Below are 24,565 nucleotides of genomic sequence, written 5' to 3'. Positions count from 1 at the left end.
AAGGTCCAGGTGTGCAAGGCTTGCAGAGTATGGGGTTAACAGCCCCATTGTTTGCATGCAACTCTAGGAGGCACCATCTAGACTATGTGAATGTGACCCCCGGAAGCATGCAGTGACAGTGTATTTATTTATTTAGAGACGGAGTCTCACTATGTTTCCCAGGCTGGAGTTCAGCTCACTGCAACCTCCACCTCCCAGGTTCAAGTGATTCTTCTGCCTGGGCCTCCCAAGTAGCTGGGACTACAGGTGTGCACCACCATGCCCAACTAATTTTTTTTTTTTTTTTTTGAGATGGAGTTTTGCTCATTGTTGCCCAGGCTGGAGTGCAGTGGTGCGATCTCAGCTCACTGCAGACTCTACCTCCCAGGTTCAAGCAATACTCCTGTCTCAGCCTCCCAAGTAGGTGTGATTATAGGCACCTGCCACCACGCCCAGCTAATTTTTGTATTTTTAGTAGAGACTTTTGTTTCACCATGTTGGCCAGGCTGGTGTTGAACTCCTGACCTCAGGTAATCCGCCCTCCTTAGCCTCCCAAAGTGTTGCGATTACAGGTGTGAGCCACTGTGCCCGGCTCCTTATATTTTTTTGTAGATACGGGGTGGCTCCCTTTGTTGCCCAGGGTCATCTCCAACTCAGGCTCCCAAAGTGCTGGGATTATAGGCATCAGCCACTGTGCTCGGTCAGGTGTGTAGCTGGGATTCTGGAAAGGTGTTTCAGCCTGTTGCCTGAAAGCATTTATGCTGCTGGAGCCCATGGTTGCCTCTACCAGTCTCCAGGCATCACCGTACCAAGACGGTTTATCTGGTGAAGAAGCCCAGCTCTAGTTTCTCACCTAGGCAGGAGGGCCCCATTTCTCCCTAGATAAGTAAGTCAATTTGACCTTTTTGAAAAGAAAGATTGGGCCGATGATGACCTCCCCAGCCTGGCTCACTGAGGCTTAGTCCTGTCCTGTCACCCCATAAAGGGTTTTTTTTTTTTTTATTCTCCCTGTCGCCAGGCCGGAGTGCAATGACGCGATCTTGGCTCACTGCAACCTCCGCCTCCCGGGTTCAAGTGATTCTCCTGCCTCAGCCTTCTGAGTAGTTGGGACTACAGGTGCGTGTCACCACACCAGCTAATTTTTTTTTGTATTTTTAGTAGAGACGGGGTTTCACCATGTTAGCCAGGATGGTCTTGATCTCCTGACCTCGTGATCCGTCCACCTCAACCTCCCAAAATGCTGGGATTACAGGTGTGAGTGAGCCACTTCGCCCAGCCCAAGGCCTTTTTTTTTGAGACAGGGTCTGGCTCTGCCACACAGGCTGGAGTGCAGTAGCGCAATCTCTGCTCACTTTAACCTCTGCCTCCTGGGCTCAAGCCATCCTCCCACCTCAGCCTCCTGAGTAGCTAGTCGTGTGCAGCAGAGGCTGAGTTTTTTTTTTTTTTGTTTAAACCCTCAGCCTCTGCATGGGAAAAGAAAGAACTACAGTCCTTGAACCTTCCCTTACTAATGATTCTCGTACATACAGCCTCTTCTCAGGGCTAGGCAAGACAGTAAGGCACTGTGTGCTGACCAGTTCATTTAATCTTTACAACAAATCTGGGAGGTGAGCCGCATTTCACCAGTGACGGTAATGGAGGCCCTGTGTAGCTCAGAAACTTGCCAAAAGCAAGCACAAGGACCCACACCTATTGCCACAACTAGAGGGAGCTACAATTTCTAGGGACTACTGGAGTTTAAAACAGAATCGAGGCCCTGTCCGAACCCGCGGAAGAATCACTGATAAGTCAGTCTCCTCTGTTCATGTTTCATAGGTGAAACGTGGATAATCACATGCACCCACTGAGGCCCGTTAAGAAAAGCCGATGAGAGACAGGAGAAAATCCAAGTGCCTTGAACATCTTGAAGGCCCCTTTTGCTCAACACCCAGTCCCTGGATGTGGCTGGGGTTCGGAGTTAGAAAGCATTCACTAAGCACTTACTCTGGGCCAAGAACATGCACTGCCTCATTAACTCTTCTCTAGAGCCCACAAAGCCAGTTACTGTGCTAAAAAGTATTTCACTTGACAGTTCTTTTCAATGAAATAATAATGCACGTAAAGTGCTTAGCAGTGTCGGTGCTTATTACCATTAGACCAAGAAAGCCCTGCCTAGGGTAGAAGCACTAATCTGGTGGGGCTGACCAGGGACTCCAGCCTTATGAAACATCTAGGCCATACACTTCCCGCATTTCATCGGCAGAGGGCAGTGGCAGGGACCGTCTTCCACACAAAGCCCGATGCAGTTTTCCCGGCGTCCATCAGAGGGCGAGCCAGCAGGTAAGCTGGATCCTGGGGCCAGACCCAGGCAGCGGCCCTTCTCTGACTGGTCCTTTCTTTGCCTTCAGTTTGGTTGAGCCTCCCAGGGACCTAACCAACCCAGGTAAGTCAGGCTGGAAGCAAATTAATAAATACAATTCCGGATTTATTAAAAATCAGGGCTCCCCTGCTGTGCCCTCCTGGCACTAAGGAAATAAATAACCAGAGGGGGCACAGCTAGGTAAAGGGGGAAAAAATCAGATCTCAAGACAGACTCTTTGAACTACCCTTTCTCCCTCCCCAATTCCCACCCCCTTATGGCTCTTGGGACATAGCACCTGAGCAGGCACCTCAGTCCGTGTAGAGTGTGACCGGCACCAAGGCATGTCTGCCCTACCCAAGAAGGGAGACAGGCCCTGGGGTCACTTGTTTCCAGCCCTTCATGACCCCAAGACCTGTTCCCCACAGGGGCCAGGGCTGAAGCACCAATTGGAGGCACCTGAGGGTGGTGGCTGGGGGAGGGAGGATGGGGTAACAGAACCTAGGCAGCAGAAGCAGCTGACGGGGGTCCGGCCCCCTCTCCAAGTTCAGCCAGTGCCTGACTGAGGTCATGCCCCATCGTCCTTTCCCCTCGAACCCCACCTGCACTCAGCTGAGGATCTTCCGGGGCAGTTCAACAGCAGCACGGATGAAGACTGCATCATCCCGCACATAGTTTCGCTTTCGAATGTCCTGGTGGGAGATGAACTTGGGATAACCAAAGCCCAGAGAACTCTCATCCAGGGAGCCCCGCCACGTGCCTGGCTTCTGGAAATTCTTCCAGTTTGGGTCGGGGTGGAAGGTCTCAGTGACGTGCTGTGGTTTAGCCAGCCCAGGGTCGCTCTGATCCAGCAGGGAGAAGGTGACACGGCGGGCAAAGGGCCACTCAAGGAGATTGTCAAAGGCACCAGGCAGCACACGAATGTACAGTGAGAGGTGTGTGCCCTCACCACTGCCATTGCCATTGAGGAATGCAGACACCTGCAGCTTGTAACCATACTTATGTGTGTAGAAGGCTGGGCTGAAGCACTCAAGGTTGGGCTTGGCCTTGGCCTCCTGTAGCCGCCGTCCATAGCTGCCAATCTTCCAGATGAGCACGCCATCACTGCCCACTGATAGCTCCTCCAGCTCTCGCCGAAGCTCCTGCAGCTCCTGCCGTTGCCGGCTCACCAGGGCACACATCATGGCCAGATGTGGCTTCACACTCTCCTCCACATGCCGTGCCATTGCCAGCTTAGGGCACTGTTGGCAAAGCCCCAGGCCATGGGGGAAGGGAGGAGAGTTATCAGTAGGGGGAGGTCCAGGGAGAGGAGAGGAGTGGGTACAGGGTAGCAGGCACCCAGCTCTACGTGAGGAAGACAGAGGGTGTTAGGAAGAGGCTGGAGCTGGCAGCAGAGGGAAGGACTGAGGGTTTCAGAGCAGCACAGCAGGGACCACCAAGGCCTAAGTACATCAGAAGCTGAGCCTCTGTCTAGGGCTTCAAGGGCAAAAGGGGGCTGACAGGAAAAGGGGCATCTCACCCTGTGCTTGCAGCCGGAGTCTTTGAATGGGCAGAGCACCAGGGCGGTGTTACAGCTGTCCTTCAGATGGCCTGGCAGGTCCTCCCGAGCCACAGTGCCCACACCACATTGGTTGGGGCAGGCAACAGGCAGCCTTGGGCACTGGTACTGGTGGCTCTGGGGCCACAGAAGTAGAGAGGCAGGAGTCAATATCCTGACTACCTGTCACCTACCCTGCAACCCACAGTTCAGGGAAGGCCTCACCTGGATGGTGTCAAAGACGAACTCCTTAGTGCAGTAGGTGCAGGGCTGAGTGCGCTTGGGGCACTCAGAGGTGGCATGCTGGGCCAGCAGCCGCCGCATCATGCGGGCACCACACTTATTCTCACAGTAGACACTCTCCTGGGGGCACATACCCTCATGGCTCTGGAAATGTCAGAGGTGCTGAGTTAAGAGATGCCTAGGCCATCAGGTACCCCCTCCTCCACATTCAGCCAGACCCCACCCACCTCATAGGCCTCCCCACTGAAGTCACAGCCACAAAACTCGCACTTGAGGCGCCGCTTGGGGCAGTCATGCTGCAAGTGTGCAGGTAGATCACGGCGGCTCAGCTTCATGGGGCAGCGATTAGGGCAGGGAATGACATTGAAGCTGCAGGTATTCAGGTGGCCCTGGTGGGAAGGCTGCAATTAGTGCCTGCCAAGGGAGAGGTGGTGCCAGCCCTCACATCAGAGCCTCACCTGTAGATGACGTAGTGGCCCACTCCAGCGGCAGCCCTCCTCACTGTGGATGCAGCGGATAGGCAGGCCCAATACTTGTACTTCCAGCTCCGGGTCTGGGTAGATCTGGGGGTAGGGATGGGGGAACTGGCCAGGGTCAGAGCTGACTGCAGTGCCCAGTTCCCACCCCTAGACCCAACTGGGCTGGCTCTACCTTGGAGCCTGTAATAGCCTCTCTTGGGCTCTTTGCCCCTCTTGAGTCCAGGGATGAAGGGCACAGCAGGCAGCATCTGCTCTGATGCTGGGTCCTAACATGCCTGCACAGGACGCTTCCTTTGAAGAGGCAGCCAATCAGCCTGCTCAATCCCAGGCTGTCCCTGGGGCTCTGCTTCCTTTCCCCTGGTGGAGGGATACTGGCCCTCAGCCACAGGTCTGGCTTGCCACCGGAAGGGGAGGGAACACTTCTTGCGGGCACAGAGCAGCTCTGTGCACCCCTACAGGCTGGGCATTGTGCATGCCCTCCAGGGCAAACAGGGGCCTCGTTTGCAAACTGGCCTGGTGGGAGGGAACAGGCTACCTTTGTGGAGGCGCACCATCCCAAGGCTTTTGGTTGACACTGGCCCTGAGCCCACTGGCTGCCAGCAGCTCCGGCCTCCAAGGGCAACAGACTGTGCTTGGGCTTCTTCCTGGCAGTGTGGACTCACCTTGGCATAGTCCAGAGGAAGCTGGTCCTCAGGGCACTTGAAGACTCCTTCACTGAAATGGGGGAGGGGCAGGAAAAAGGTTTCTCATTAGGGGAAAGGGAGGCCTGGCCCCACCCCCTCCACTGAGGCAGCCTCCCTTCCTCACCAGACCGGTTCCCAACCAGCCTAGATGAGACAAAAGGGCAAGCAGAGGCCTGAGGGGCTCTACTTCCCCAGGATCCCAGAAGACCCCAGCCCCTGTCCTGGGAAGGGGGGTCTGGGCCTAGAGGAGGCACAGACAGCTGCCTCAGTCAGGACTTGGCCAACAGGTGGCAGCTGGCACCCCCTCCCCCAGGATGGCAGCTGGACTGGGAAAGGAACACGCTGCACAGTCACCCCCTCCCCCTAGGTTAGTTTTCATTGGCTGCGCTGAAAGCTGACTGGGAGGGGGAACAGGGATGGGCTGAGATTAAGTGCGAAGGCTGCCCAGTCCCCAGGAAGGTCCTCTGCCAAGAACCAGGGCAAAGGTCAGCTTGCGGCCACCTTACCCTGCCCTGCTCCTTTGAGGGTGTGTCTCCCACAGAAAAGGGGAGGAAAGGCATGCTCCTTGGCACCTGTTTACATTCCCACCCGGCCCTTGCCACCTGCCTCTGAGAAGGGGTGGAATGCCCCCATTTTACAGATGAAACGAAGAGGCTTACAGGTGAAGCAGCACCTGGCTATGTGTGTCTGACTCCACAGCTCAGACAGGCTCTACTACACCACACACACAAGGAAGAGAAGCTGGGGCAAGGAAAAATGTCCAGCAAGCACAGCTAAGACTCTGGGCACTGCTCAGTGGGCTTCTGAAGCCTGGTGACCGTCCCCTCCTGCTAGCTGCCCGCCTTCTCCTGCACCAAACCCTACCTGGCCGTCAGCACCCAAGGAGCCTGTTGGCATGCTTCTTTCTGTCGACATGCCCTTGCTGACCCCAGCCAGGGCCAGTCACACATGCCTGGCATGGCTCAGGCAGAGCAATGGCTCACCCAGCAGGACTCAGGGCCCTGGGGCAGGGCATTCCTGGCAGGTCTGAGTCAGGTAGGTGGAAGGCAGGCAGGGATCCAGGCGGAACCAGAGCCCACATGGGAGCCCAGTTCTAGAGGCACTCTCCAGGACCCAGGCAGTCCATGCCCCAACTGCCCCAAGGATTTCTAGCACCCACCTCCTCCCCTTGATCCCACTACCACTGGCCATGCTTCAATGCCAAGGACAATACAACCACAGGCACTGAAGGGGTGTGTCTGCCCACAGGGCAACCAGCCTTCCTGGGCCAACCTAACAGCTCAGGCAGGAGTGGGGAAAGAGGGGTGGGCCCAGGGGGAGGGGGTCCACTTGGCTGCTTCAGGAATGTGCTGACTGAGTGGTTTTGGAGAAAGGGAGGGGACAGAGGCAAGTCCCTAGGCTTCAGGCAGAAGCTTAGCCTGCAGCTTGGGGCCCAGCCAGGGCTGTGGACACCCTCACTTGTGCTTGTACCGTGGCGGGTGAGGAGCAGGGACCACCCAACCACCTCTCTCCCCTTCAGAAGCCTCAGCAGCACAGCTCAGGCACTGGGGGATGGGGGACAGGCAGGGCAGAGGCTGCTCCAGGCTGTGCAGTGGAGGCCAAGGCCCAGGGAAGAAGACAGGATGGGGGGAGGGGGTGTGGGAGTGGGAGAGGAAGAGGGGATTTCCGGGAGGGGGAGTGGCAGAGAGGGGGGCCAAGAAGGTGGTGGAAGGAATCCGGCCTGACGGCCCCCTCCCCCGCTCCTTTCCCGAGGCAGTCAGGGTGGGTCAGCTGTGGGGGGGTCGGGGGGCTCAGCTGGCCTCATCTGGAACCCAGAGGGCCGGGGAAGAGCAGTGGCGGAGACAATGGGGCTGTGTCTGTAGGAGAGTAAATGTGTACACTGCCGAGGGGGAGGGGGCAGTCCTGCAGCTTGTGCCGGAGCATATGTGAGGGCAGGAGCCGGCCCAGGCTGTGGGGAACAGAAAACAAAGGGCCTGCTGAGATTTCCGCCAGTAGGAGCTACGGAGGACCGAGCGAGGGAGGGAGGCACGGCGGGAGGGAGCACCGGAGGCAGGCGTCTCAGAGGTACTATCCCTGCCAGGCCCTCGATCCCCTCGTCCCAGCAAACAGCCAGGCAGTGGCCGACTCGGCCTTCCCCTGCGCTCTGGGGGCATGACCTCCGAAGAGTCGGGGCTCCTTCACCCTGCTTCCCACACCCGGGCCTGAGGGGTTCCCTGCGTGAGCAGGAGATTCAAGACATACAGGGCGCCCAGAAACTTGATGGATGCCCAAGAGCCAAGGGCTAACCTGCGTCCTGAGAGGGCAGCGGGAGTTCAGTAACAACACGAGTGCGACCCCCTTCTTCATGACTTATGGACCACCCGCCTTACTCCAGCCCCCGGGAGAGAGGGGAGCCGCCTAGAGGGGTCCTTCTTCGGGGGAGGATTCAGTCCTTCCTCCATTGTGTGATCATAAGCAGTCCGGGTTTAAATCCTAGTTAAGCCTTTAAGTAACTATGTGACCCTGGGCAAGTCGCAGCCTTTCTTTGAATCTCGTTTCATGATCTGTGAAATGGGAGAACAATAGCTACCGTTCTCTGAACGTTCGAAGAATCAGAAGAGGTTAGATGGGGGAAAGCTCCGGAGGCTCAAACTGCCACGCGGGAGCGGGTTTTGTCCTCTTCCCCCAGGATTCAAAGTTCAAGGCTGAGGCCGCGCCGGCTCTCAGGTGACGGGGAAGGGCCTCTTCCCCTCCTGACCCCACGAGAAGGCGCCGAGGTCTTCCGCCCCGGGCCGGGCAGTTGGGACCCGCCCGGACCCCTCGGATTCCTGCGGGGGGGGCCTCCCTCGGGGCTTGACGTCATCCCTCCCCGTGACGTCACGGGGCGCCCCTGAGGTCACAGGGTCGCAGCGCAGACAAAGGCCCGCCTTGCCCCGGGCCCGAGACCCTCCCCAGGCGGCGCCCCCCGCCCCGCCCCGCCCCCGCTGTCCCCTGCTCCCCGGCCAGCACCTGAGGAACTCCTGCAGGCAGGTATCGCAGAAACGGTGGCCGCAGGTGGAAACCTGCACAGGCTCGCGCATGGGCTTCCCGCACAGTGGGCACAGCAGCCGTCGCTTGGGCTTCTCCAGGAACTTGTAGTCGAAGCCAGGCATGGCGGGCGAGCGGCCGGCACGGGCGAGCGGGGCCAGGCACGCGGCGGCCCCACAGCCCGCGCCTCGCTGGAGCGGCGCTCCCGGCTCCGGGCGGCGCCGACTGGCGGTCGCGGCCAGGGCTCGGCTGTGAAGCCCGCCCTCCGGAAGAGAGGGCGGACCGCGGCCGCGCGGTCCTAATGCGCGCCCTCGCGGCCCCGCCCACCCCCGAGTGCATGGTTTTTGGGTCTGGTGACCGCCAGTCTCGCCCACCCACGGGATCATGGGCTTTTCTTTCCCCTGGGGGACAGAGATCGTGGCTCCGCTTCTCCCCAGAGCCCGCGGGCCCCGGGGAAGTGCGGGTCGGAAAAGGGGACGGGCCGCGCCACAAAGGTTTTCTTCTCCAGAGGCAACAGCTCGGCCTCCGGGGCCGTGAGCAGCCCAGGAACCGTGGCCCCAGCTTCCAGGTGCTAGGCAGCCGAAGCCTGGCAACCAGCTCCGGGGAGCCCAGCTGGGGCGGGGAGGCTGGACTGGGCGCTGGGCCAGAGGAACCTCGGCCCCAGCCTCCGGCTGCGCCCACATTCCTCCCTTGGCCGCAGCCCTGCCACCGAGGTCGGGCCCAGCCCAGTCCTGGGGTGCCTGGTCGCCACCCCCACCCTTGAAGACACCACACTCCAGGCAGGCAGCTGATATTTTTATTGGCCTTCCTGTCCTCTGGGAAACCGGTCTGGTCCCACCAGCTACCCATTCTCTCAACTGTTTCTGGGGAAAGGCATGGGGGGGACGGGCAATCTCCAGCGCGGATCTTTTCTGCAGCACTTAGTGACTCCTGCCCTCCTGCTGGGGAAGAGAGGCAAGCCGACGTCTAGCAAATCCTGCCTCAGGATGAAAGTGTAGGGGAGGTGGCAGCACTCCCGGGGACCGCCCAGCCCCGGGCTATGCAGAAGCTAGGCAGGCCTAATGGCCAGTCCAGGCAGGCCCTGGCTTGCCCTGCTCCAAAGTATGGAGATAGAGTCCCGGTAAGCACCAAATACTTTTTTTTTTTTTTTTTTTTTTTTTTTTTTGAGAGGGAGACTTGCTCTGTCATCCAGGCTGGAGTGCAGTGGTGCGATCTCGGCTCACTGCAAACTTCACCTCCCGGGTTCAAGGGATTCTCTTGCCTTAGCCTCCAGAGTAGCTGGGATTACAGGCGCCCGTCACCATGCCTGGTTAATTTTTGTATTTTTAGTAGAGACGGGGTTTCACCATGTTGGCCAGGCTGGCCTCAGTCTACTGACCTCAAGTGATCCGCCCGCCTTGGCCTCCCAAAGTGCTGGAATTACAGGCGTGAGCCACCGCACCCAGCCTTATTTTCTTCTTTTTTTTTTTTTTTGGTGGAGACAGCGGTCTCGCTATGGTCCCCAGGCTGGTCTCCCAACTCCTGGCCACAAGGGATCAAGGGATCCTCCTGGCCAAAGCACTGCCTATGCAGGTGTGAGCCACCGCCGCCGGCCCAGACTTATTTTCTAACTGGGCTAGGGGAAAGGGTAGGGTCTGTGTGGAGCTACAGCTGCCTTCAGCCTTTTTTGTTTTTTTTTTTTTTTTGAGACGGAGTCTGGTTCTGTCGCCCAGGCTGGAGGGGTTTACGCCATTCTCCTGCCTCAGCCTCCTGAGCAGCTGGGACTACAGGCGCGTGCCACCACGCCCAGCTAATTTTTTTGTATTTTTAGTAGAGATGGGGTTTCACCACGTTAGCCAGGATGGTCTCGATCTCCTGACCTCGTGATCCGCCCGCCTCAGCCTCCCAAAGTGCTGGGATTACAGGCGTGAGCCACTGCGCCCGGCTGCCTTCAGCCTTTTTATGGCAAGGCTCTGGAGGCCACCCTGCTTCCAAAGGCTAGGTCTGCCTTCTAACTCTAGCCAGGCTGGACCCTGGGGACACTGACTGAAGGGAGGAAGGGGTAGGAAGGGCAAAGAGGTGGTAGGAGAACAAAGTGGTTGAGGTTTCCATATCCAAGGCCAAAAGCAGAGCAGGGGTTTTGCCAGCCCTGATACCCCATGATGACACAATCCAGGAGACAGCTGCAAGTCATGCCTTGGGCACCTGCACTTTTCAGAGCATTCAGAGGAGAAGCAATATCAGGGTGGTCCAGAGGTGAATCCGGGTGCCTCAGGGGGGGACCGGCTCATCTGTGACCGCTGGAGGGTACCGAAGAGAAACCCTTGCAGCTTCTGAGGGCAGTGCCTCCAGAAATCATCACCCACCTCCCACTCCCACTGGGCCCTGGATTCTGGACCCTGTTAGGCCAGAAAGAGAGTTTCAGCATCAACGGGACTCAGCAGTAGGAGAAAGAATGCATGTGAGCCCTGGGGAGCAGTGGAGGCAGCCCTTCCATGAGGCCCAAGAAGCACCAGCCTTGGCCACCCCAGGCAGGAAGCTTGAAGCTTTTCAACCGCAGCTTCTGCTTTTTTTATCTGGGGGCTAAAGATGCTTTTGGTGATGTGGCCATCTGTGAACACTGGGGATGGGAGTGTGGACAGGGGCCAGCTGGGCTGTGTGGTGAAGTGGGAAAAGTTACAACTCACATCGAACAGCCAGGAGGGTGTTTCCATGGCAACAGGACACGGAAGTCACCGTGTAAGGGTGTGTCTCATCCAACTGCACTGGCCGAGGGAGTCCGGCATCCTCATCCCTCCTTCCCAATCGACCTCGCGCCCCTTTGCCCCAAGAGTACACTTCGCTCTCTGCCAGGAAGAATCCCCAGGAGGGAAGTGGGAAGTGGGCACAGCCCGAGCAGGATCTCCCCTCCCACATTGCCAGGATGGCCCCTGGGAGGCTCCAGAGTCCAGTGGCCCTGAATAGCAACCCCCACCCCCCACTGCTCATGGCACTGTCTGCCCCCACCATGCTCAGTCCTCACCTGCCCCAATAGCTACAGTGAAGGCATCCCCACAGGCTACCATTGCCATCTTGATGCCCTCAAGGCCTTGGACCTTACAGGGTGCCCGACTGCCTCGGCGAGTATTGGTGCCCAACTGTCCGTGCTGATTGCTGCCAAAAGTGTAGCAATCACCCGAGGCTATGGGGGAGAGGAAGGAAAGGGGTGCTTCAACAGGGTACCAAGGAGACCGTGAGTCCCCCTCTGACCTCCAGAGCCCAAGTCCTCCTCACCAGTCACAGCAGCTGAGTGAGCAGTGCCCAGGTCTATACTCAGCAGAGGCTCCTGGTCCAGGGGTGCAGAGCCTAGTAGTGTGAAGCTCAGGGCCTCCTCCACTTGCTGGTGGGGGACAGGCTCCTCCCCCAGGGAGAGGTGGTCCAGGCCCAGCTTGTTGAACCTGAGGGCAGAGCCAGAAGCCAAATCCAACTGACAGACAGTTTGGGCAGGAGCTGGTGCACCAGGAGACAGATCCCACCCTGGGTTGAACCAATAGCACCCTCAACCCCCTCAATTCTGGTCTTTGGTGAAAGGTAGGCAATGATGGACGGAGCACTTGCAGCCAAGGAGAGCCAGGGGCAGGTTAGTCATCCTGATGATCTATTCACCTGTTGCTCCCACAGGCTAGGGCTTGGCCAGGCACAGTGAGGATCATGGAGGAATCGATACCACATACAACTCGCTGAGCTTCCTGTCCTGGGGGCATGGGCACCTGCTGGGGGCAGCTGTGGGACTCCCTGGTGCCTAGCCCCAGTCTGCCTACAAGAAGAAACCCAGAAGGAGTTAATTTGAGCTTTAGTGGGGGTGATGCCCGAATGAGGAGGGCCCACTGAGGGGAGGGAACAGCATGAGTTCTCTGTTCTCTCAGTCCCAAATGCCTTTCCTAGGCCCCTCTGCTGGTTAAAATCCTCCTTCTTTATTTTTTATTTTTATTTTTCGAGACTGAGTCTCACTCTGTCGCCAAGGCTGGAGTACAAGGGTATGATCTTCACTCACTGCAACCTCTGCCTCCTGGGTTCAAGCGATTCTCCTGCCTCAGCCTCCTGAGTAGCCGGGATTACAGGCATGCACCACCATGCCCAGCTAATTTTTTTATTTTTAGTAGAGACGGGGTTTTACCATGTTGGCCAGGCTGGTCTTGAACTCCTGACCTTGTGATCCACCTGCCTCGGCCTCCCAAAGTGCTGGGATTACAGGCGTGAGCCACCACGCCGGCTCAAAATCCTCCTCCTTTAAAGCCCTGTTCAAATGACATCTCTCTCCTCCAGTTGACATTACTGTTCACTGAATTCCACGCCTCTGCACTGGGGTGTAGCCCTGATGCTATCTGTTCTCTGGCATGCTGGCAATGTCATCTTTCTCCCACTAGACTGAGTCCTCCAGGAAGACAAGAACCCATCAGTGTCATCTCTAGTTTCAGTGGCCAGCCTGATGCCTGACCCAAAGAGGACCTCAATAAAAAAAATTAGTGGATGGGCCAGGCGTGGTGGCTCACGCCTGTAATCCCAGCACTTTGGGAGGCTGAGGCATGTGGATCACGAGGTCAGGAGTTCGAGACCAGCCTGGCCAAGATGGTGAAACCCTGTCTCTACTAAAAATACAAAAATTTGCTGGGCGCGGTGGCGGGTGCCTGTAATGCCAGCTACTTGGGAGGCTGAGGCAGGAGATTCGCTTGAACCCGGTGGTGGAGGTTGCAGTGAGCTGAGATCACGCCACTGCACTCTAGCCTGGGTAACAGAGCGAGACTCCATCTCAAAATAAAATAAAAAACTAGGTGGATGAATGAAATTTCCTTCATTACCTCATAAACACCTGAAGGAAGCCACATCTCCATCTCATCTCAGCACCCAGCACAGGGTGTGCACATAGTCGGTGTAAAATAAAGGTTTGTTGAATGAATGAAGAGAATTTGAGAGAAAAGAGGGAAGAGAGAATGTGCTGTGAGGTGGAAGGTGGGTATGAAGGGGAGCAAGTCATGGCTGAGGATGCTGTGAGATGGGGCCTAAAGGCTGGAGCTTACCGCTGTCTCCACGGCCCCAGGCAAATAGTTCTCGCTCAGTGGACAGGGCCAGCACGTGAGAGGCCCCACAGGCCACCTGCACCATTTCATAGCCCAGCAAAGCCTCCACAATGGTGGGCTAGAGAGGAGAGGAAGCAAGGAGAAACTGGGCAAAGGGTCTGGAGCCATCTGGCTTCAACACCCCCTGTAGGGACAAAGCTGGAGGCTACACATTCTCAGGAGGTGGCTGTGTCTTTAAATCCAGCCATACACACTGCCAGGTGGGCAACCATTGGGGAAGCCTGGTTTTTCTGTACTTTCCCCGATGTAGGTGGCCCAGAGCAGGTGCAGCTGGGAAGCTAGAGGAACCTGTGGTTGCTGGGAACTCCCCTGCCCCCAATCTGGTGTCAACTCACAGATGTGGGCTCCCCGCCATCCCCCGACTTCCCCTTCCCAAGGTATATGTGACACCCACCTGGCTGATGTCAGTGAGGCTGCCATGGCCTAGGCACCCATTGCTGCCGCTGCCGAATGTCATGATGATGCCTCTGTCTGGGGAGAAGGGCAGTGAGGAAGGAGAAGGGAAAGAAGTTAAACAGTCTTTCCAGATAGCCCGGTCCTCCAGTGGGTTGCAGCAGCAAAATAAAGTTGGGGACCAGGGCTGGAAGGATGGGATAGGAAGAGAGAAAAGGATATGAGTCCCTTCAAACATATGTGACTTTGGACAAGTGACACCCTCTCTGAGCCTTAGCGTCCCCACTTGTCAAATGAGGATAATATAATAACTGCCTTGCCAGGCCTGTCCGTAGGGTAAAGGAGGTTGTATAAGGAAATCTCCTCAATAGTTACTAGACAGAAGCAATAACTCGATAACTAGTAGACAGAAGCATTCATTAAGTGCGTGTTTTGCAAGAGAAGAGAGAAGGTGCTCTGTGGGGCCTCAGAGCAGGTCCCACAAGGTAGGCCCGACAACTCACCAGTCAGGCAGGCAGTGAAGAAGTCCCCACAGGCCACGTGCTTGATGGTCACACCCGACTGGCCCTCCAGGAAACGCGAGATGAACTGGGGCTGTGGCTGCTCCACTGCCCCAGGAAGGAGACTGCCTCCGCCTGCACCTAGGGGTGGGGCCTGCAGGGGCAGGGGGATGGGCAGCGCCTGAGCACCCCAACCCTGCTGTGGACCTCCACCTCCACCCATCCAGGCCACCCCCTGGCCTGCTCACCTCCCACAGGATGAGACGCCCAGAGCGCGTGACGCCGGCTTTCTGCGTGCGCCCAGCTGCCACCTGGACCACCTCTGTGTTGAGCATTGGCAGCCGCAGGGGGGTGCCCAGCCCACCACCCCAGGCATACACTGACGACAGTGGTGGTGGGATGGCTGGCCTCACAGGTCCCCGGGGGATACCTGCAGGTACAGTGCATGGGGACTATTAAACTGATGGGAATGGTGTGGCATCCATGGGGACTGGCGGCCTCTTCCCACTTACCTCTGCAGCGGACACTGGTGGTCCTGCTCCCTGTGTTGCTGGGGGCCACGGACTTCTCTGCCCTGCAGGACAGATGGGGGCCTAAGGACAAAGACCCTCCTGACATTCCTACATGCAGGAAGGGAGGACTTGCCCCAGGTTTCCCTCTGCCTCAGACCTCCTGTGCTCCCACTGGGTGCCCACACCCTGCCGCCCAGGACCGCTCGCTGTCCCTGCACAGGCCTCCGCATGCGGACACTGCCCACGTCGGTGTGGAGGTTGAGGAGGGCACGGATGCAGAGGGGCTGTGCCATGATGTGGCTGAGTGGTGGCCGCTGGGCAGGCTCCAGGCTGAGTAGACTCAGGACCAGCTGGCGAAGCTCAGGGCTGTACCGGTCAGAGATAGGTGCAAAGGTGCCACTCATGATCTTCAGCACCAGTGCTGGCAAGTTCTGTGAAGGCACCAGGTTGAGAATTTGGGGAAGTGAGGGCAGCACCCCCCAGCTCCAGCCCCTGGTCTCCTGGGATAATAACAGCTTTGCCTGGAGGCATCATGCTACCTGACTTCAAACTATACTACAAGGCTACAGTAACCAAAACAGCATGGTACTGGTACCAAAACAGAGATATAGACCAATGGAACAGAACAGAGCCCTCAGAAATAATGCCACACATCTACAACTATCTGATCTTTGACAAACCTGAGAAAAACAAGAAATGGGGAAAGGATTCCCTATTTAATAAATGGTGCTGGGAAAACTGGCTAGCCATATGTAGAAAGCTGAAACTGGATCCCTTCCTTACACCTTATACAAAAATTAATTCAAGATGGACTAAAGACTTACATGTTAGACCTAAAACCATCAAACCCCTAGAAGAATACCTAGGCAATACCATTCAGGACATAGGCATGGGCAAGGACTTCATGTCTAAAACACCAAAAGCAATGGCAACAAAAGCCAAAATTGACAAATGGGATCTAATTAAACTAAAGAGCTTCTGCACAGCAAAAGAAACTACCATCAGAGTGAACAGGCAACCTACAGAATGGGAGAAGATTTTTGCAATCTACTCATCTGACAAAGGGCTAATATCCAGAATCTACAAAGAACTCAAACAAATTTACAAGAAAAAAACAACCCCATCAACAAGTGGGCGAAGGATATGAACAGACACTTCTCAAAAGAAGACATTTATGCAGCCAAAAGACACATGAAAAAATGCTCATCATCACTGGCCATCAAGAAATGCAAATCAAAACCACAATGAGATACCATCTCACACCAGTTAGAATGGTGATCTTTAAAAAGTCAGGAAACAACAAGTGCTGGAGAGGATGTGGAGAAATAGGAACACTTTTACACTGTTGGTGGGACTGTAAACTAGTTCAACCATTGTGGAAGTCAGTGTGGCGATTCCTCAGGGATCTAGAACTAGAAATACCATTTGACCCAGCCATCCCATTACTGGGTGTATACCCAAAGGATTATAAATCATGCTGCTATAAAGACACATGCACACGTATGTTTATTGTGGCACTATTCACAATAGCAAAGACTTGGAACCAACCTAAATGTCCAACAATGATAGATGGATTAAGAAAACGTGGCACATACACACCATGGAAAACTATGCAGCCGTAAAAAATGATGAGTTCATGTCCTTTGTAGGACATGGATGGAGCTGGAAACCATCATTCTCAGCAAACTATCGCAAGGACAAAAAACCAAACACCGCATGTTCTCACTCATAGGTGGGAATTGAACAATGAGAACACATGGACACAGGAAGGGGAACATCACACACCGGGGCCTGTTGTGGGGTGGGGGGAGGGGGAAGGGATAGCATTAGGAGATATACCTAATGTTAAATGATGAGTTAATGGGTGCAGCACACCAACATCGCACATGTATACATACGTATCAAACCTGCACGTTGTGTACATGTGCCCTAAAACTTAAAGTATAATAAAAAAAATAAATAAATAAACAATAACAGCTTTGCCCTCAGGAGACTTCAGTCTGATGAGGAGACTCCCAGACTGACAGGGGAGTCCAACCTGGCTTTCAGTGATCCCTAGTCTGATAGGGGAGCTGCAGCTATATCCTCAGAAACCCCAGCATGCTGGGAAAACTCAAGTCTTGCTCTTGGGAGGGTCTTCTGGGAAAGCCACAGCCCTGCCCTCAGGAGCCCTCCGTCTAATGGGAGGCAAGACCTACTCTCAGAAATCCATAGTCTGAGGGACACCCATAGCCCTCCCCTGGGGTAATCTGATAAGGGAGAGACATGACTCAGCTAGAGGAGAAACCTGAGGTGGCTTGAGCCAAGGGCTGCTGGGCGAGGCAGTAGATTTCTCAGTTGTCCCCTGGAGGGTGCATACACTCACCGCAGCCTCGAAAGCCCTCTTGAGGCTGGCCAGCTCGTAGAGGACACAGCCCAGGGCCCAGATGTCACTCTTCTGGTTGTAGGGCTTGCCCTCACACAGCTCAGGGGAGATATAGCATGGGGTACCCACCACCTGCAGGATAGAAGCTGGGATCACAGCCCTGCAGGGAGGGAAGACCAGGGGCTCTGTGCATAAGCCCATTTGGGGACAGCTTCTTCTCAAAGCAAGCCAAGGGGCTTCCTCCTGCAGAACCACCCAAACAGGGGCCAAAGGGCCAAGGGTTTTTTAGGGGGAGGGGAGGAGGCAGGGTTAGGTCCTGGCCCTCAAGACTTCTAGTGCCCTGGAGGTCCCTTCCATGCCCAGGCACCGTGTAGGCCTTGCTCTTGCTGCTAAGGATCTTGGAGATGCCGAAATCACCGATCTTGACGACCATGCGGTGTTTGTCAAGCAGGATGTTCTGGGTCTTGAGGTCTCGGTGCAGGATGAGGTGGGTGTGCACATGATGCAGTGCAAGCAGGATCTGCACGAAGAAGTGCAGGATGGTCTCCTCCTCCAGCAGGGAATTACAGCGCTTTTGGATGAACTCAGCCAGAGTGCCGCCTGTGGCCCAAGGGACTAATCAAGATCCAGGCTTTCTCACACCTACGACAACCCCTCTCCATTGTTGTTGTTGTTTTTTTTTTTTGAGATGGAGTCTCGCTCTGTTGCCCAGGCTGGAGTGCAGTGGCATGATCTCAGCTCACTGCTGCAAGCCCCCCCTCCCGGGTTCAAGCCATTCTCCTGCCTCAGCCTCCTTAGTAGCTGGGACTACAGGTGCCTGCCACCACACCCGGCTAATTTTTTTTTTTTTTTGTATTTTTAGTAGAGACGGGGTTTCCCCGTGTTAAACAGGATGGTCTCGATCTCCTGACCTCATGATCCGCCCGCCTCGGCGTTGGCCTCCCAAAGTGCTGAGATTACAGGCATGAGCCACCGTGCCCAGCCAACAACCCCTCTCCTTTTATGTATGGAACAGGGCACTGGGACCAGAGAGGACAAGGGGCTAGCCGGGGTCAGATAATTGGGACCAGAACTCTAACCCTTGGCCATGCCCATTCCAAGGAGGGAAGCCAGGAGATCTGTGTCTGCCTGTCCCAGAGGTAAGAGGCCCTCCAGCCAGGCCACTGTAAGGAGGCTGGCCCACCTGGTGCATATTCCATGGCGATCATAAGGGCTTTGTCTTCCAGGAAGTTCTCGTAGTACTCAATGACATTGGGGTGGTTGAGCAGCTTGAGGACCTGGCACTCATTCTGGGCTGCCTGCCGCTCTTCCTTGGTCATCTGTTCCACTGGAATCTGCTTGATGATCACCAGCTTCTGGTCAGCCTTTCGCAGGCACAGGTGCACAATCCTAGGGATACGGAGGACAGGGACAGGTTACCAGCTAAGCCTCCAGCCACATATCAGGCAGGGCGGTGCAGCCTAGTGACTGATGTCTCTTGGAAGAGGGTTCTAGACTGAGAGGTCATCTAACCAAGCGCACAGAACACTGAACTTGGGAACAGGGAGAACTGATTACAAGCTGTGTGGGACTTCAGTTTCACCACAGGCACTGTGAGGTAAAGTTAGTCTTGATCTCTAAGTTCCCACAGACTGCCTGGGTTCAAATCTGGGTGCCTCCTCTTACTAGTTATCTGGTTTGATACATTATGTGACATCATTGTCTGGAAAATGAAATGGGCCTCCCAGGGTTGTTGAGAGGATGGAATGAGAAAATGCATGTAAGGCACTGAGTGCAGTGACCAGCACAAAGAAAACGCTCAATGAATAGAAGCCATTCATATTATTTTATTTTAATTCTGTGGTTAGTCTCCATAAAAGCAGGGACTACAACATTCTTGTTCACCACAATAACCCCAGTGCATAGCCCAATATTTAGCACACAATAGGCAGTCAATAAGTATTTGTTGAATGAGTGGACTATAAGCTGATCTAAGTCTCAAATTTTTACCTCCAGATCAGGCTTCTCTTCTGAACCCTAGACTCAGATATCCACTTGAATGGCTCACAGTCATCCTAAATTTTAACAAATTCAAAATAAAACTCTTGATTCCTGCCTCCAAACCTTTCCTTGCTCAGTCTCTTCCATCTCAGTAAATGCTACCATCATCCTCCAGTTATTAAAATCAGAAACTGCTAAAATCAGAAACCTGAGGCAGGGCCAAGTGGCTAAGGCCTGTGATCTCAGCACTTTGGGAGGCCAAGGCAGGTAGATCACTTGAGTCCAGGCGTTCAAGACCAGCCTGAGCAACATGGTGAAACCCACTCTCGCAAAAAAAAAAAAAAAAAAAAATTAGCTGAGCATGGTGGCAAGCCTCTGTGGTCCCAGCTGCTCTGGAGGATGAGGTGGGAGGATCACCTGAGCCTAGGACATTGAAGATACAGTTAGCCATGATTGCGCCACTGCACTCCAGCCTGGGTGACCAAGTGAGATGGTCTCAAAACAAAACAACAAAAAAACAGACACTTGAAAATCAGCCTAGGCCGGGCGAAATGGCTCACACTTGTAATACTAACACTTTGGGAGGCCGAGGTGGGTGGAGCATTTGAGGTCAGGAATTTGAGAACAACCTGGCCAAAATGGTGAAACCCCATCTCCACCCAAAATACAAAAATTAGCTGGGTGTGGTGGCAGGCGCCTGTAATCCCAGCTACTCGGGAGGCTGAGGCAGCAGAATGGCCTGAACCTGGGAGGTGGAGCTTGCTGTGAGCCGAGATGGCGCCACTGCACTCCAGCCTGGGCGACAGAGTGAGACTCCACCTCAAAAAAAAAAAAAAAAAAAAAAAAGAAAAGAAAAAAGAAAATCGCCCTAGAATCTTTCCTCCATTTCACACAAGCAAATCCTATTTCTACCTCTGCAATACTGTAAATCCATCCAATTCTCTGTGCCCTCTCTACAGCCCTTGCCCTATAGTCATCATAATTTCTCGCCTAAAATACTGTATAACTCTCCAAAATGGTCCCTTTCACTCCTGTCACCCTCAAATCTAAATTCTACATGAACCAGAATGACATTTATTTTTTATTTATTTTTCTTTTTTTTATAGATATGGGTCTCACTATGTTGGCCAGGTTGGTCTTGAACTCGTGGCCTCAAGATATGCTCCCACCTCGGCCTCCCAAAGTGCTGGGATTATGGGCATGAGCCACCATGCCCAGCCCCAGAATGCAATTTAAAAATCTTACTATCCTGGCTAACACGATGAAACCCCGTCTCTACTAAAAATACAAAAAATTAGCTAGGCATGCTGGTGGGTGCCTGTAGTCCCAGCTACTCGGGAGACTGAGGCAGTAGAATGGCGTGAACCCGTGAGGCGGAGCTTGCAGTGAGCCTAGATTGCGCCACTGCAGTCCAGCCTAGAAGATAGAGCAAGACTCCGTCTCAAAAAAAAAAAAAAAAAAAAAAAAAAAAAAAAAAAAAAAATTGGGGCCAGGCGCGGTGGCTCACGCCTGTAATCCCAGGCCTTTGGGAGACTGAGGCAGGCGGATCACGAGGTCAGCAGATCGAGACCATACTGGCTAACATGGTGAAACCCCGTCTCTACTAAAAAATACAAAAAAATTAGCCGGGAGTGGTGGCGGGCGCCTGTAGTTCCAGCTGCTAGGGAGGCTGAGGCAGAAGAATGGCGTGAACCTGGGAGGCGGAGCTTGCAATGAGCCGAGATGGTGCCACTGCACTCTAGTCTGGGTGACAGAGCGAGACTCTGTCTCAGAAAAAAAAAAAGAAAGAAAGAAAGACAAAATATAGAGGAATGGTCTGATAAGATTTTTTATTTTTCTATTTTTTTTATTTTTGAGAAGGAGTCTCACTCTGTTGCCAGGCGGGAGTGGAGCGGCGCGATCTCGGCTCACTACATCCTCCGCCTCCCAGGTTCAAGCAATTCTCCTCCCTCAGCCTCCCGAGTAGCTGGGACTACAGGCGCGTGCCACCCACGCCCAGCTAATTTTTTTATTTTTAGTAGAGACGGGGTTTTACCATGTTGGCCGGGATGGTCTCGATCTCTTGACCTCGTGACCTGCCCGCCTCGGCCTCCCAAAGTGCTGGGATTACAGGCATGACCCCCACGCCCGGCCTTTTTGTTTTTATTTTTTTTTGAGACAGAGTTTCACTCTTGTTGCCTAGGCTGTAGTGCAATGGCACAGTCTCAGCTCACTGCAACCTCTGCCTTCCAGGTTCAAGCGATTCTCCTGACTCAGCCTCCCAAGTAGCCGTCACAACACCCAGCTAAATTTTGTATTTTTAGTAGAGATGGGGTTTCACTGTGTTGGCCAGGCTGGTCTCGAACTCTTGACCTCAGGTGATCCAACCACCTCGGCCTCCCAAAGTGCTAGAATTACAGGCCTGAGCCACCGTGCCCGGCCCCTTCTTTCTTTCCTTTCTTTCTTTTTTTCTTGTATTATTTCTTTTTTTAGATAGGTTCTCACTCTGTCAACCAAGTTGAAGTGCAGGGGTCTCATCTCAGCTTACTACAGCCTCCACCTCCCATGCTCAAGTGATCCTCCCACCTCAGCCTCCTGAGTAGTTGGGACTACAGGCACATGCCAATGCCACCATACCTGGCTAATTTTTTTATTTTTTTGTAGACAGGGGGACTCATTGTGTTGCCCAGGCTGGTCTCTAACTCCTAAGCTCAAGCAATTGCCCATCTCGGCCTCCCAAAGTGCTAGGATTATAGGCGTGAGCCACTGCACCCTGCCCCTTTTCAGAAAACTCTGCCAAGTCTCAGGATCACTCTTCCTCTTTAAAACCCTTCCTGGTGGCTGGGAGTGGTGGCTCACGCCTGTAATCCCAACACTTTGGGAGGCAGAAGCAGGTGGATCGCCTGAGGTCAGGAGTTCGAGACCAGGCTGGCCAACATGGTGAAACCCTGTCTCTACTAAAAATACAAAAAATTAGCCAGGCATGGTGGCACACGCCTGTAAGGCTGAGGCAGGAGAATTGCTTGAACCCGGGAGGCGGGGCTTGCAGTAAGCCAAGATGGTGCCATTGCACTCCAGCCTGGGCAACAGAGGAGACTCTGTCTCACAAAAAAAAAAAAAAAAAAAAAAAAAAAATTAGCCGGTTGTTGTGGCGTGTGCCTGTAGTCCCAGCTACTCAGGATGCTGAGGCAGGAGAATTGCGTGAACCCGGGAGGCGGAGATTGCAGTGAACTGAGATTGCCACTACACTCCAGCCTGAGCGACAGTGCAAGACTCCGTCTCAAAAACAAAAACAAAAACAAAACAAAACCGTTTGTGGCAAATGAACCTTTTATCTCAGGTTATCAGGCCATAATCTAGTCCCCGCCCTCGACAATTACATTTTATACCATTCTCTACCTTGCCCACTACATTCCAACTATTACTAGTCTTTCTCGGTTTCTTGAATGCTCTGTTTTCCCATGTGAGACATTTCACATACGCTATTTCCTTTGCCTGAAAAGTTCTCCCTTCACCTGCAGACTACTGGTCCTCATTCCTCAAGTCTTGGCCTTAAATCTCACTTCTGGCCTGTCGCGGTGGCTCACGCCTGTAATTCCAGCACTTAGGGAGGCCGGCGCGGGCGGATCACCTGAGGTCAGGAATTTGAGACCAGCCTGGCCAACATGGCGAAACCCCATCTGTACTAAAAACACAAAAAATATTAGCTGGGCATGGTGGCGCGTGCCTGTAGTCCCAGCTACTCGGGAGGCTGAGGCAGGAGAAGCGCTTGAACCAGGGAGGCAGAGGTTGCAGTGAGCTGAGATAGTGCCACTGCACTCGAGATCGCGCCACTGCGACAGAGTGAGACTGCCTCAAAAAAAAAAAAAAAAAAAAAAAATCCAAAAAATTTAGCCGGGCATGGTGGCGCACGCCTGTAATCCTAGCTACTCGGGAGGCTGAGGCACAACGATTGCTTGAACCCAGGAGGTGGTGGTTGCAGTGTGCCAAGATCGTGCCACTGAACTCCAGCCGGGGTGACAGAGGGAGACTCTGTCTTAAAAATCAATCAAGCAAGCAAGCAATCTCCCTTCTCAGAGAATTCTTCCTTGACCATCTCATATAAGTATTCTCACTGGTAATGTACTCTATCCTCACAACCTGCTAATAACACTTCATAACTGCTATAACTTCTTACTTCATAATGTTTTGTTTATTGTATAACTTTCCCACAGTCAGTAAGTTCCAAGAGGGAAAAGACCACGCCCGTTCCGGTTCTAACTATATACCCAGCGGCCAAAGCCTGACATACATAGCTGGCACTCAGTATTTGTTGAACGAATGAATAAAGAAGCTAACATAACTCAGTGGGCGGAGCAATGGGCCTGTCAGGGGCGTGGCCTCCGTAGAGGCGGAGTCTCCCCGGGGGACTGGGACCGGAAGCTTGGGCGGGGCTTCCCAGAGTGGCGCTCACGCCTTGGGGCGGGATTAGGCGGGCGGCGACTTCGCGGGCGGAATTGGGGCTTATTTTCCCTATCCCCTAGCAGTTTCCTCCCCCAGAGCCCTGGCTCACCCGAAGGCACCTCTCCCCACCACTCGGATCCGCTCGTACTTCTCCATCTCATTTCTTAGAGTTTCACTTCCGTCCCCCACGCGGCGCGTGCGCGGACCCACCCACTCTGGGCCCCGCCCCTTCACGGCGAGCGGCTTGCGGGGCGGAGCCAGCGCCCTAGGTGTGGGTTCCGCCACGCGTCCGTATTTGTGGGCCTGCACCACACACCTCCCGCTGCGACACGCCGTCACTTTTCCCCTCACGACCCTGCCCCACGCAGTGTCCAAGAATAGGGCAAGAAAATAGGGCGCGCCCGCAATGGCGGGCACGGTACCCGCCCCTCCCACACATATACCCAGCCCTTGTAAAGCTTGCTAGACTAAAAGGATGTCGCGTTCCCGAGAGTTAAACCCCACAGGCCGGGAAGGGGTGGGAAGAGAAGATTGACCCCCTTCTTGCCCACGAGTGACGCTATTTCAGGAGAAAGCGGGTTCTCCTTGGCACGCAAACGATAAACACACCCAAAACGACCGAGACCAGCGCTCCTGGGAGAAGGCAGCAGGGTTGGTTTCGTGTTTGCCTGGGGAGGGACGGGGGAAATCCCAAGTCGTGCAAGTTGATTCACCTGAAGAGGACATGACACGGTCTCGGGCCGTCCCGACTAGTGAGCGCCGCGCTCGTCAGCACTCTCAACTCCCCTTTCACACACGCGCTGCAGGAGGGTAATCTGCCCTCAGTGCTCATCTTCCCATGGGGGAAGATGGGGGCGGTAGTGGGTCAGTACCTGAAAGCATCAAGGGGAGAAGGAAAGACCGCGGTTTCGCCGAAATGAGCTCAAGGCAAAAGCCTAGAGGCAGGGGGCTGGTTAGTGTGACCAGCTAGGCTCTTTACCGGAAGTGAGGTTAATTCCAGGTTCTCCCGGGCTCCTGCTCTGCGGGAGCTCT

At 54.6% G+C, this 24,565-nt stretch overlaps 2 protein-coding genes across 7 annotated transcripts, besides 22 other annotated features; both read right to left on the bottom strand.

Annotated features, from left to right (window-relative positions):
- Positions 1-1,546: 1,546 nt before the first annotated feature.
- TRAF4 (TNF receptor associated factor 4) lies at positions 1,547-8,492 on the bottom strand. Of its 6 annotated transcripts, none has more exons than XM_011525504.4 (7): positions 8,248-8,492; positions 5,239-5,290; positions 4,556-4,681; positions 4,325-4,486; positions 4,080-4,241; positions 3,837-3,992; positions 1,547-3,558 (listed from the first exon to the last, which is right to left on the bottom strand). In XM_011525504.4, the coding sequence occupies exons 1-7, from the start codon at positions 8,388-8,390 to the stop codon at positions 2,926-2,928; spliced, it is 1,434 nt and encodes a 477-aa protein (XP_011523806.1). In that variant the 5' UTR covers positions 8,391-8,492; the 3' UTR covers positions 1,547-2,925. The 6 variants fall into 6 exon arrangements, with proteins under 6 accessions (XP_011523806.1, NP_004286.2, XP_011523807.1 ...); NM_004295.4 differs by having other exon boundaries at positions 4,556-4,660; XM_011525505.3 differs by lacking the exon at positions 8,248-8,492 and adding an exon at positions 6,124-8,068.
- Positions 4,413-5,412: an enhancer, noted in NCBI's record as "H3K27ac-H3K4me1 hESC enhancer chr17:27074109-27075108 (GRCh37/hg19 assembly coordinates)". NCBI's record gives its function as "activates a minimal SCP1, AML or CMV promoter by ChIP-STARR-seq in naive and primed H9 embryonic stem cells {active_cell/tissue: H9 hESC(naive and primed)}" and the evidence as "EXISTENCE:reporter gene assay evidence [ECO:0000049][PMID:30033119]".
- Positions 8,014-8,213: a silencer, noted in NCBI's record as "silent region_8354". NCBI's record gives its function as "represses an Ori minimal core promoter by ATAC-STARR-seq in GM12878 lymphoblastoid cells {active_cell/tissue: GM12878}" and the evidence as "EXISTENCE:reporter gene assay evidence [ECO:0000049][PMID:35858748]".
- Positions 8,234-8,643: a silencer, noted in NCBI's record as "silent region_8353". NCBI's record gives its function as "represses an Ori minimal core promoter by ATAC-STARR-seq in GM12878 lymphoblastoid cells {active_cell/tissue: GM12878}" and the evidence as "EXISTENCE:reporter gene assay evidence [ECO:0000049][PMID:35858748]".
- Positions 8,234-9,416: a biological region, named in NCBI's record as "NANOG-H3K27ac-H3K4me1 hESC enhancer GRCh37_chr17:27070105-27071105".
- Positions 8,416-9,416: an enhancer, noted in NCBI's record as "NANOG-H3K27ac-H3K4me1 hESC enhancer chr17:27070105-27071105 (GRCh37/hg19 assembly coordinates)". NCBI's record gives its function as "activates a minimal SCP1, AML or CMV promoter by ChIP-STARR-seq in primed H9 embryonic stem cells {active_cell/tissue: H9 hESC(primed)}" and the evidence as "EXISTENCE:reporter gene assay evidence [ECO:0000049][PMID:30033119]".
- On the bottom strand, positions 9,048-23,715 carry NEK8 (NIMA related kinase 8). Its single transcript, NM_178170.3, has 15 exons — positions 23,643-23,715; positions 18,315-18,520; positions 17,499-17,731; positions 17,132-17,263; positions 14,989-15,197; positions 14,767-14,828; positions 14,503-14,684; positions 14,258-14,408; positions 13,756-13,832; positions 13,302-13,419; positions 11,890-12,040; positions 11,518-11,681; positions 11,267-11,425; positions 10,932-11,090; positions 9,048-10,544 (listed from the first exon to the last, which is right to left on the bottom strand). Exons 1-15 carry the CDS (start codon positions 23,687-23,689, stop codon positions 10,516-10,518), a joined length of 2,079 nt encoding a protein of 692 aa, NP_835464.1. The 5' UTR covers positions 23,690-23,715; the 3' UTR covers positions 9,048-10,515.
- Positions 9,098-9,392: an enhancer, noted in NCBI's record as "tiled region #11843; HepG2 Activating DNase unmatched - State 1:Tss". NCBI's record gives its function as "activates a minimal TATA promoter and a strong SV40 promoter by Sharpr-MPRA in HepG2 cells {active_cell/tissue: HepG2}" and the evidence as "EXISTENCE:reporter gene assay evidence [ECO:0000049][PMID:27701403]".
- Positions 9,098-9,392: a silencer, noted in NCBI's record as "tiled region #11843; K562 Repressive DNase matched - State 1:Tss". NCBI's record gives its function as "weakly represses a minimal TATA promoter and a strong SV40 promoter by Sharpr-MPRA in K562 cells {active_cell/tissue: K562}" and the evidence as "EXISTENCE:reporter gene assay evidence [ECO:0000049][PMID:27701403]".
- Positions 10,552-10,711: an enhancer, noted in NCBI's record as "active region_11951". NCBI's record gives its function as "activates an Ori minimal core promoter by ATAC-STARR-seq in GM12878 lymphoblastoid cells {active_cell/tissue: GM12878}" and the evidence as "EXISTENCE:reporter gene assay evidence [ECO:0000049][PMID:35858748]".
- Positions 11,212-11,271: a silencer, noted in NCBI's record as "silent region_8352". NCBI's record gives its function as "represses an Ori minimal core promoter by ATAC-STARR-seq in GM12878 lymphoblastoid cells {active_cell/tissue: GM12878}" and the evidence as "EXISTENCE:reporter gene assay evidence [ECO:0000049][PMID:35858748]".
- Positions 11,572-11,681: an enhancer, noted in NCBI's record as "active region_11950". NCBI's record gives its function as "activates an Ori minimal core promoter by ATAC-STARR-seq in GM12878 lymphoblastoid cells {active_cell/tissue: GM12878}" and the evidence as "EXISTENCE:reporter gene assay evidence [ECO:0000049][PMID:35858748]".
- Positions 11,722-11,861: an enhancer, noted in NCBI's record as "active region_11949". NCBI's record gives its function as "activates an Ori minimal core promoter by ATAC-STARR-seq in GM12878 lymphoblastoid cells {active_cell/tissue: GM12878}" and the evidence as "EXISTENCE:reporter gene assay evidence [ECO:0000049][PMID:35858748]".
- Positions 13,095-13,244: an enhancer, noted in NCBI's record as "active region_11948". NCBI's record gives its function as "activates an Ori minimal core promoter by ATAC-STARR-seq in GM12878 lymphoblastoid cells {active_cell/tissue: GM12878}" and the evidence as "EXISTENCE:reporter gene assay evidence [ECO:0000049][PMID:35858748]".
- Positions 14,055-14,114: an enhancer, noted in NCBI's record as "active region_11947". NCBI's record gives its function as "activates an Ori minimal core promoter by ATAC-STARR-seq in GM12878 lymphoblastoid cells {active_cell/tissue: GM12878}" and the evidence as "EXISTENCE:reporter gene assay evidence [ECO:0000049][PMID:35858748]".
- Positions 14,125-14,274: an enhancer, noted in NCBI's record as "active region_11946". NCBI's record gives its function as "activates an Ori minimal core promoter by ATAC-STARR-seq in GM12878 lymphoblastoid cells {active_cell/tissue: GM12878}" and the evidence as "EXISTENCE:reporter gene assay evidence [ECO:0000049][PMID:35858748]".
- Positions 14,415-14,594: an enhancer, noted in NCBI's record as "active region_11945". NCBI's record gives its function as "activates an Ori minimal core promoter by ATAC-STARR-seq in GM12878 lymphoblastoid cells {active_cell/tissue: GM12878}" and the evidence as "EXISTENCE:reporter gene assay evidence [ECO:0000049][PMID:35858748]".
- Positions 14,415-15,029: a biological region, named in NCBI's record as "H3K4me1 hESC enhancer GRCh37_chr17:27064492-27065026".
- Positions 14,495-15,029: an enhancer, noted in NCBI's record as "H3K4me1 hESC enhancer chr17:27064492-27065026 (GRCh37/hg19 assembly coordinates)". NCBI's record gives its function as "activates a minimal SCP1, AML or CMV promoter by ChIP-STARR-seq in primed H9 embryonic stem cells {active_cell/tissue: H9 hESC(primed)}" and the evidence as "EXISTENCE:reporter gene assay evidence [ECO:0000049][PMID:30033119]".
- Positions 17,273-17,372: an enhancer, noted in NCBI's record as "active region_11944". NCBI's record gives its function as "activates an Ori minimal core promoter by ATAC-STARR-seq in GM12878 lymphoblastoid cells {active_cell/tissue: GM12878}" and the evidence as "EXISTENCE:reporter gene assay evidence [ECO:0000049][PMID:35858748]".
- Positions 17,433-17,492: an enhancer, noted in NCBI's record as "active region_11943". NCBI's record gives its function as "activates an Ori minimal core promoter by ATAC-STARR-seq in GM12878 lymphoblastoid cells {active_cell/tissue: GM12878}" and the evidence as "EXISTENCE:reporter gene assay evidence [ECO:0000049][PMID:35858748]".
- Positions 23,115-23,838: an enhancer, noted in NCBI's record as "H3K27ac-H3K4me1 hESC enhancer chr17:27055683-27056406 (GRCh37/hg19 assembly coordinates)". NCBI's record gives its function as "activates a minimal SCP1, AML or CMV promoter by ChIP-STARR-seq in naive H9 embryonic stem cells {active_cell/tissue: H9 hESC(naive)}" and the evidence as "EXISTENCE:reporter gene assay evidence [ECO:0000049][PMID:30033119]".
- Positions 23,839-24,562: an enhancer, noted in NCBI's record as "NANOG-H3K27ac-H3K4me1 hESC enhancer chr17:27054959-27055682 (GRCh37/hg19 assembly coordinates)". NCBI's record gives its function as "activates a minimal SCP1, AML or CMV promoter by ChIP-STARR-seq in naive H9 embryonic stem cells {active_cell/tissue: H9 hESC(naive)}" and the evidence as "EXISTENCE:reporter gene assay evidence [ECO:0000049][PMID:30033119]".
- Positions 23,872-24,311: an enhancer, noted in NCBI's record as "active region_11942". NCBI's record gives its function as "activates an Ori minimal core promoter by ATAC-STARR-seq in GM12878 lymphoblastoid cells {active_cell/tissue: GM12878}" and the evidence as "EXISTENCE:reporter gene assay evidence [ECO:0000049][PMID:35858748]".

Source organism: Homo sapiens, chromosome 17 (assembly GCF_000001405.40).
Source record: "Homo sapiens chromosome 17, GRCh38.p14 Primary Assembly".
Classification (NCBI taxonomy): Eukaryota; Metazoa; Chordata; class Mammalia; order Primates; family Hominidae; genus Homo; species Homo sapiens.
Note: the sequence above shows the minus strand (reverse complement) of the source record. Positions and strands in the feature narration are given on the sequence as shown.

Coding starts and splice junctions, on each gene's coding strand:
- TRAF4 (XM_011525504.4), bottom strand. CDS start 8,390: ATGCCTGGCTTCGACTACAAGTTCCTGGAGAAGCCCAAGCGACGGCTG. Junction 4,682..5,238: donor TTCCTCTGGACTATGCCAAG/GTGAGTCCACAC, acceptor GACCCTGGCCAG/TTCCCCCATCCCTACCCCCA. Junction 3,993..4,079: donor TCGTCTTTGACACCATCCAG/GTGAGGCCTTCC, acceptor CTGTGGCCCCAG/AGCCACCAGTACCAGTGCCC.
- NEK8 (NM_178170.3), bottom strand. CDS start 23,689: ATGGAGAAGTACGAGCGGATCCGAGTGGTGGGGAGAGGTGCCTTCGG. Junction 14,829..14,988: donor GGCAGTGTCCGCATGCGGAG/GCCTGTGCAGGG, acceptor TCTGTCCTGCAG/GGCAGAGAAGTCCGTGGCCC. Junction 13,420..13,755: donor GCCTCACTGACATCAGCCAG/GTGGGTGTCACA, acceptor TCTCCTCTCTAG/CCCACCATTGTGGAGGCTTT.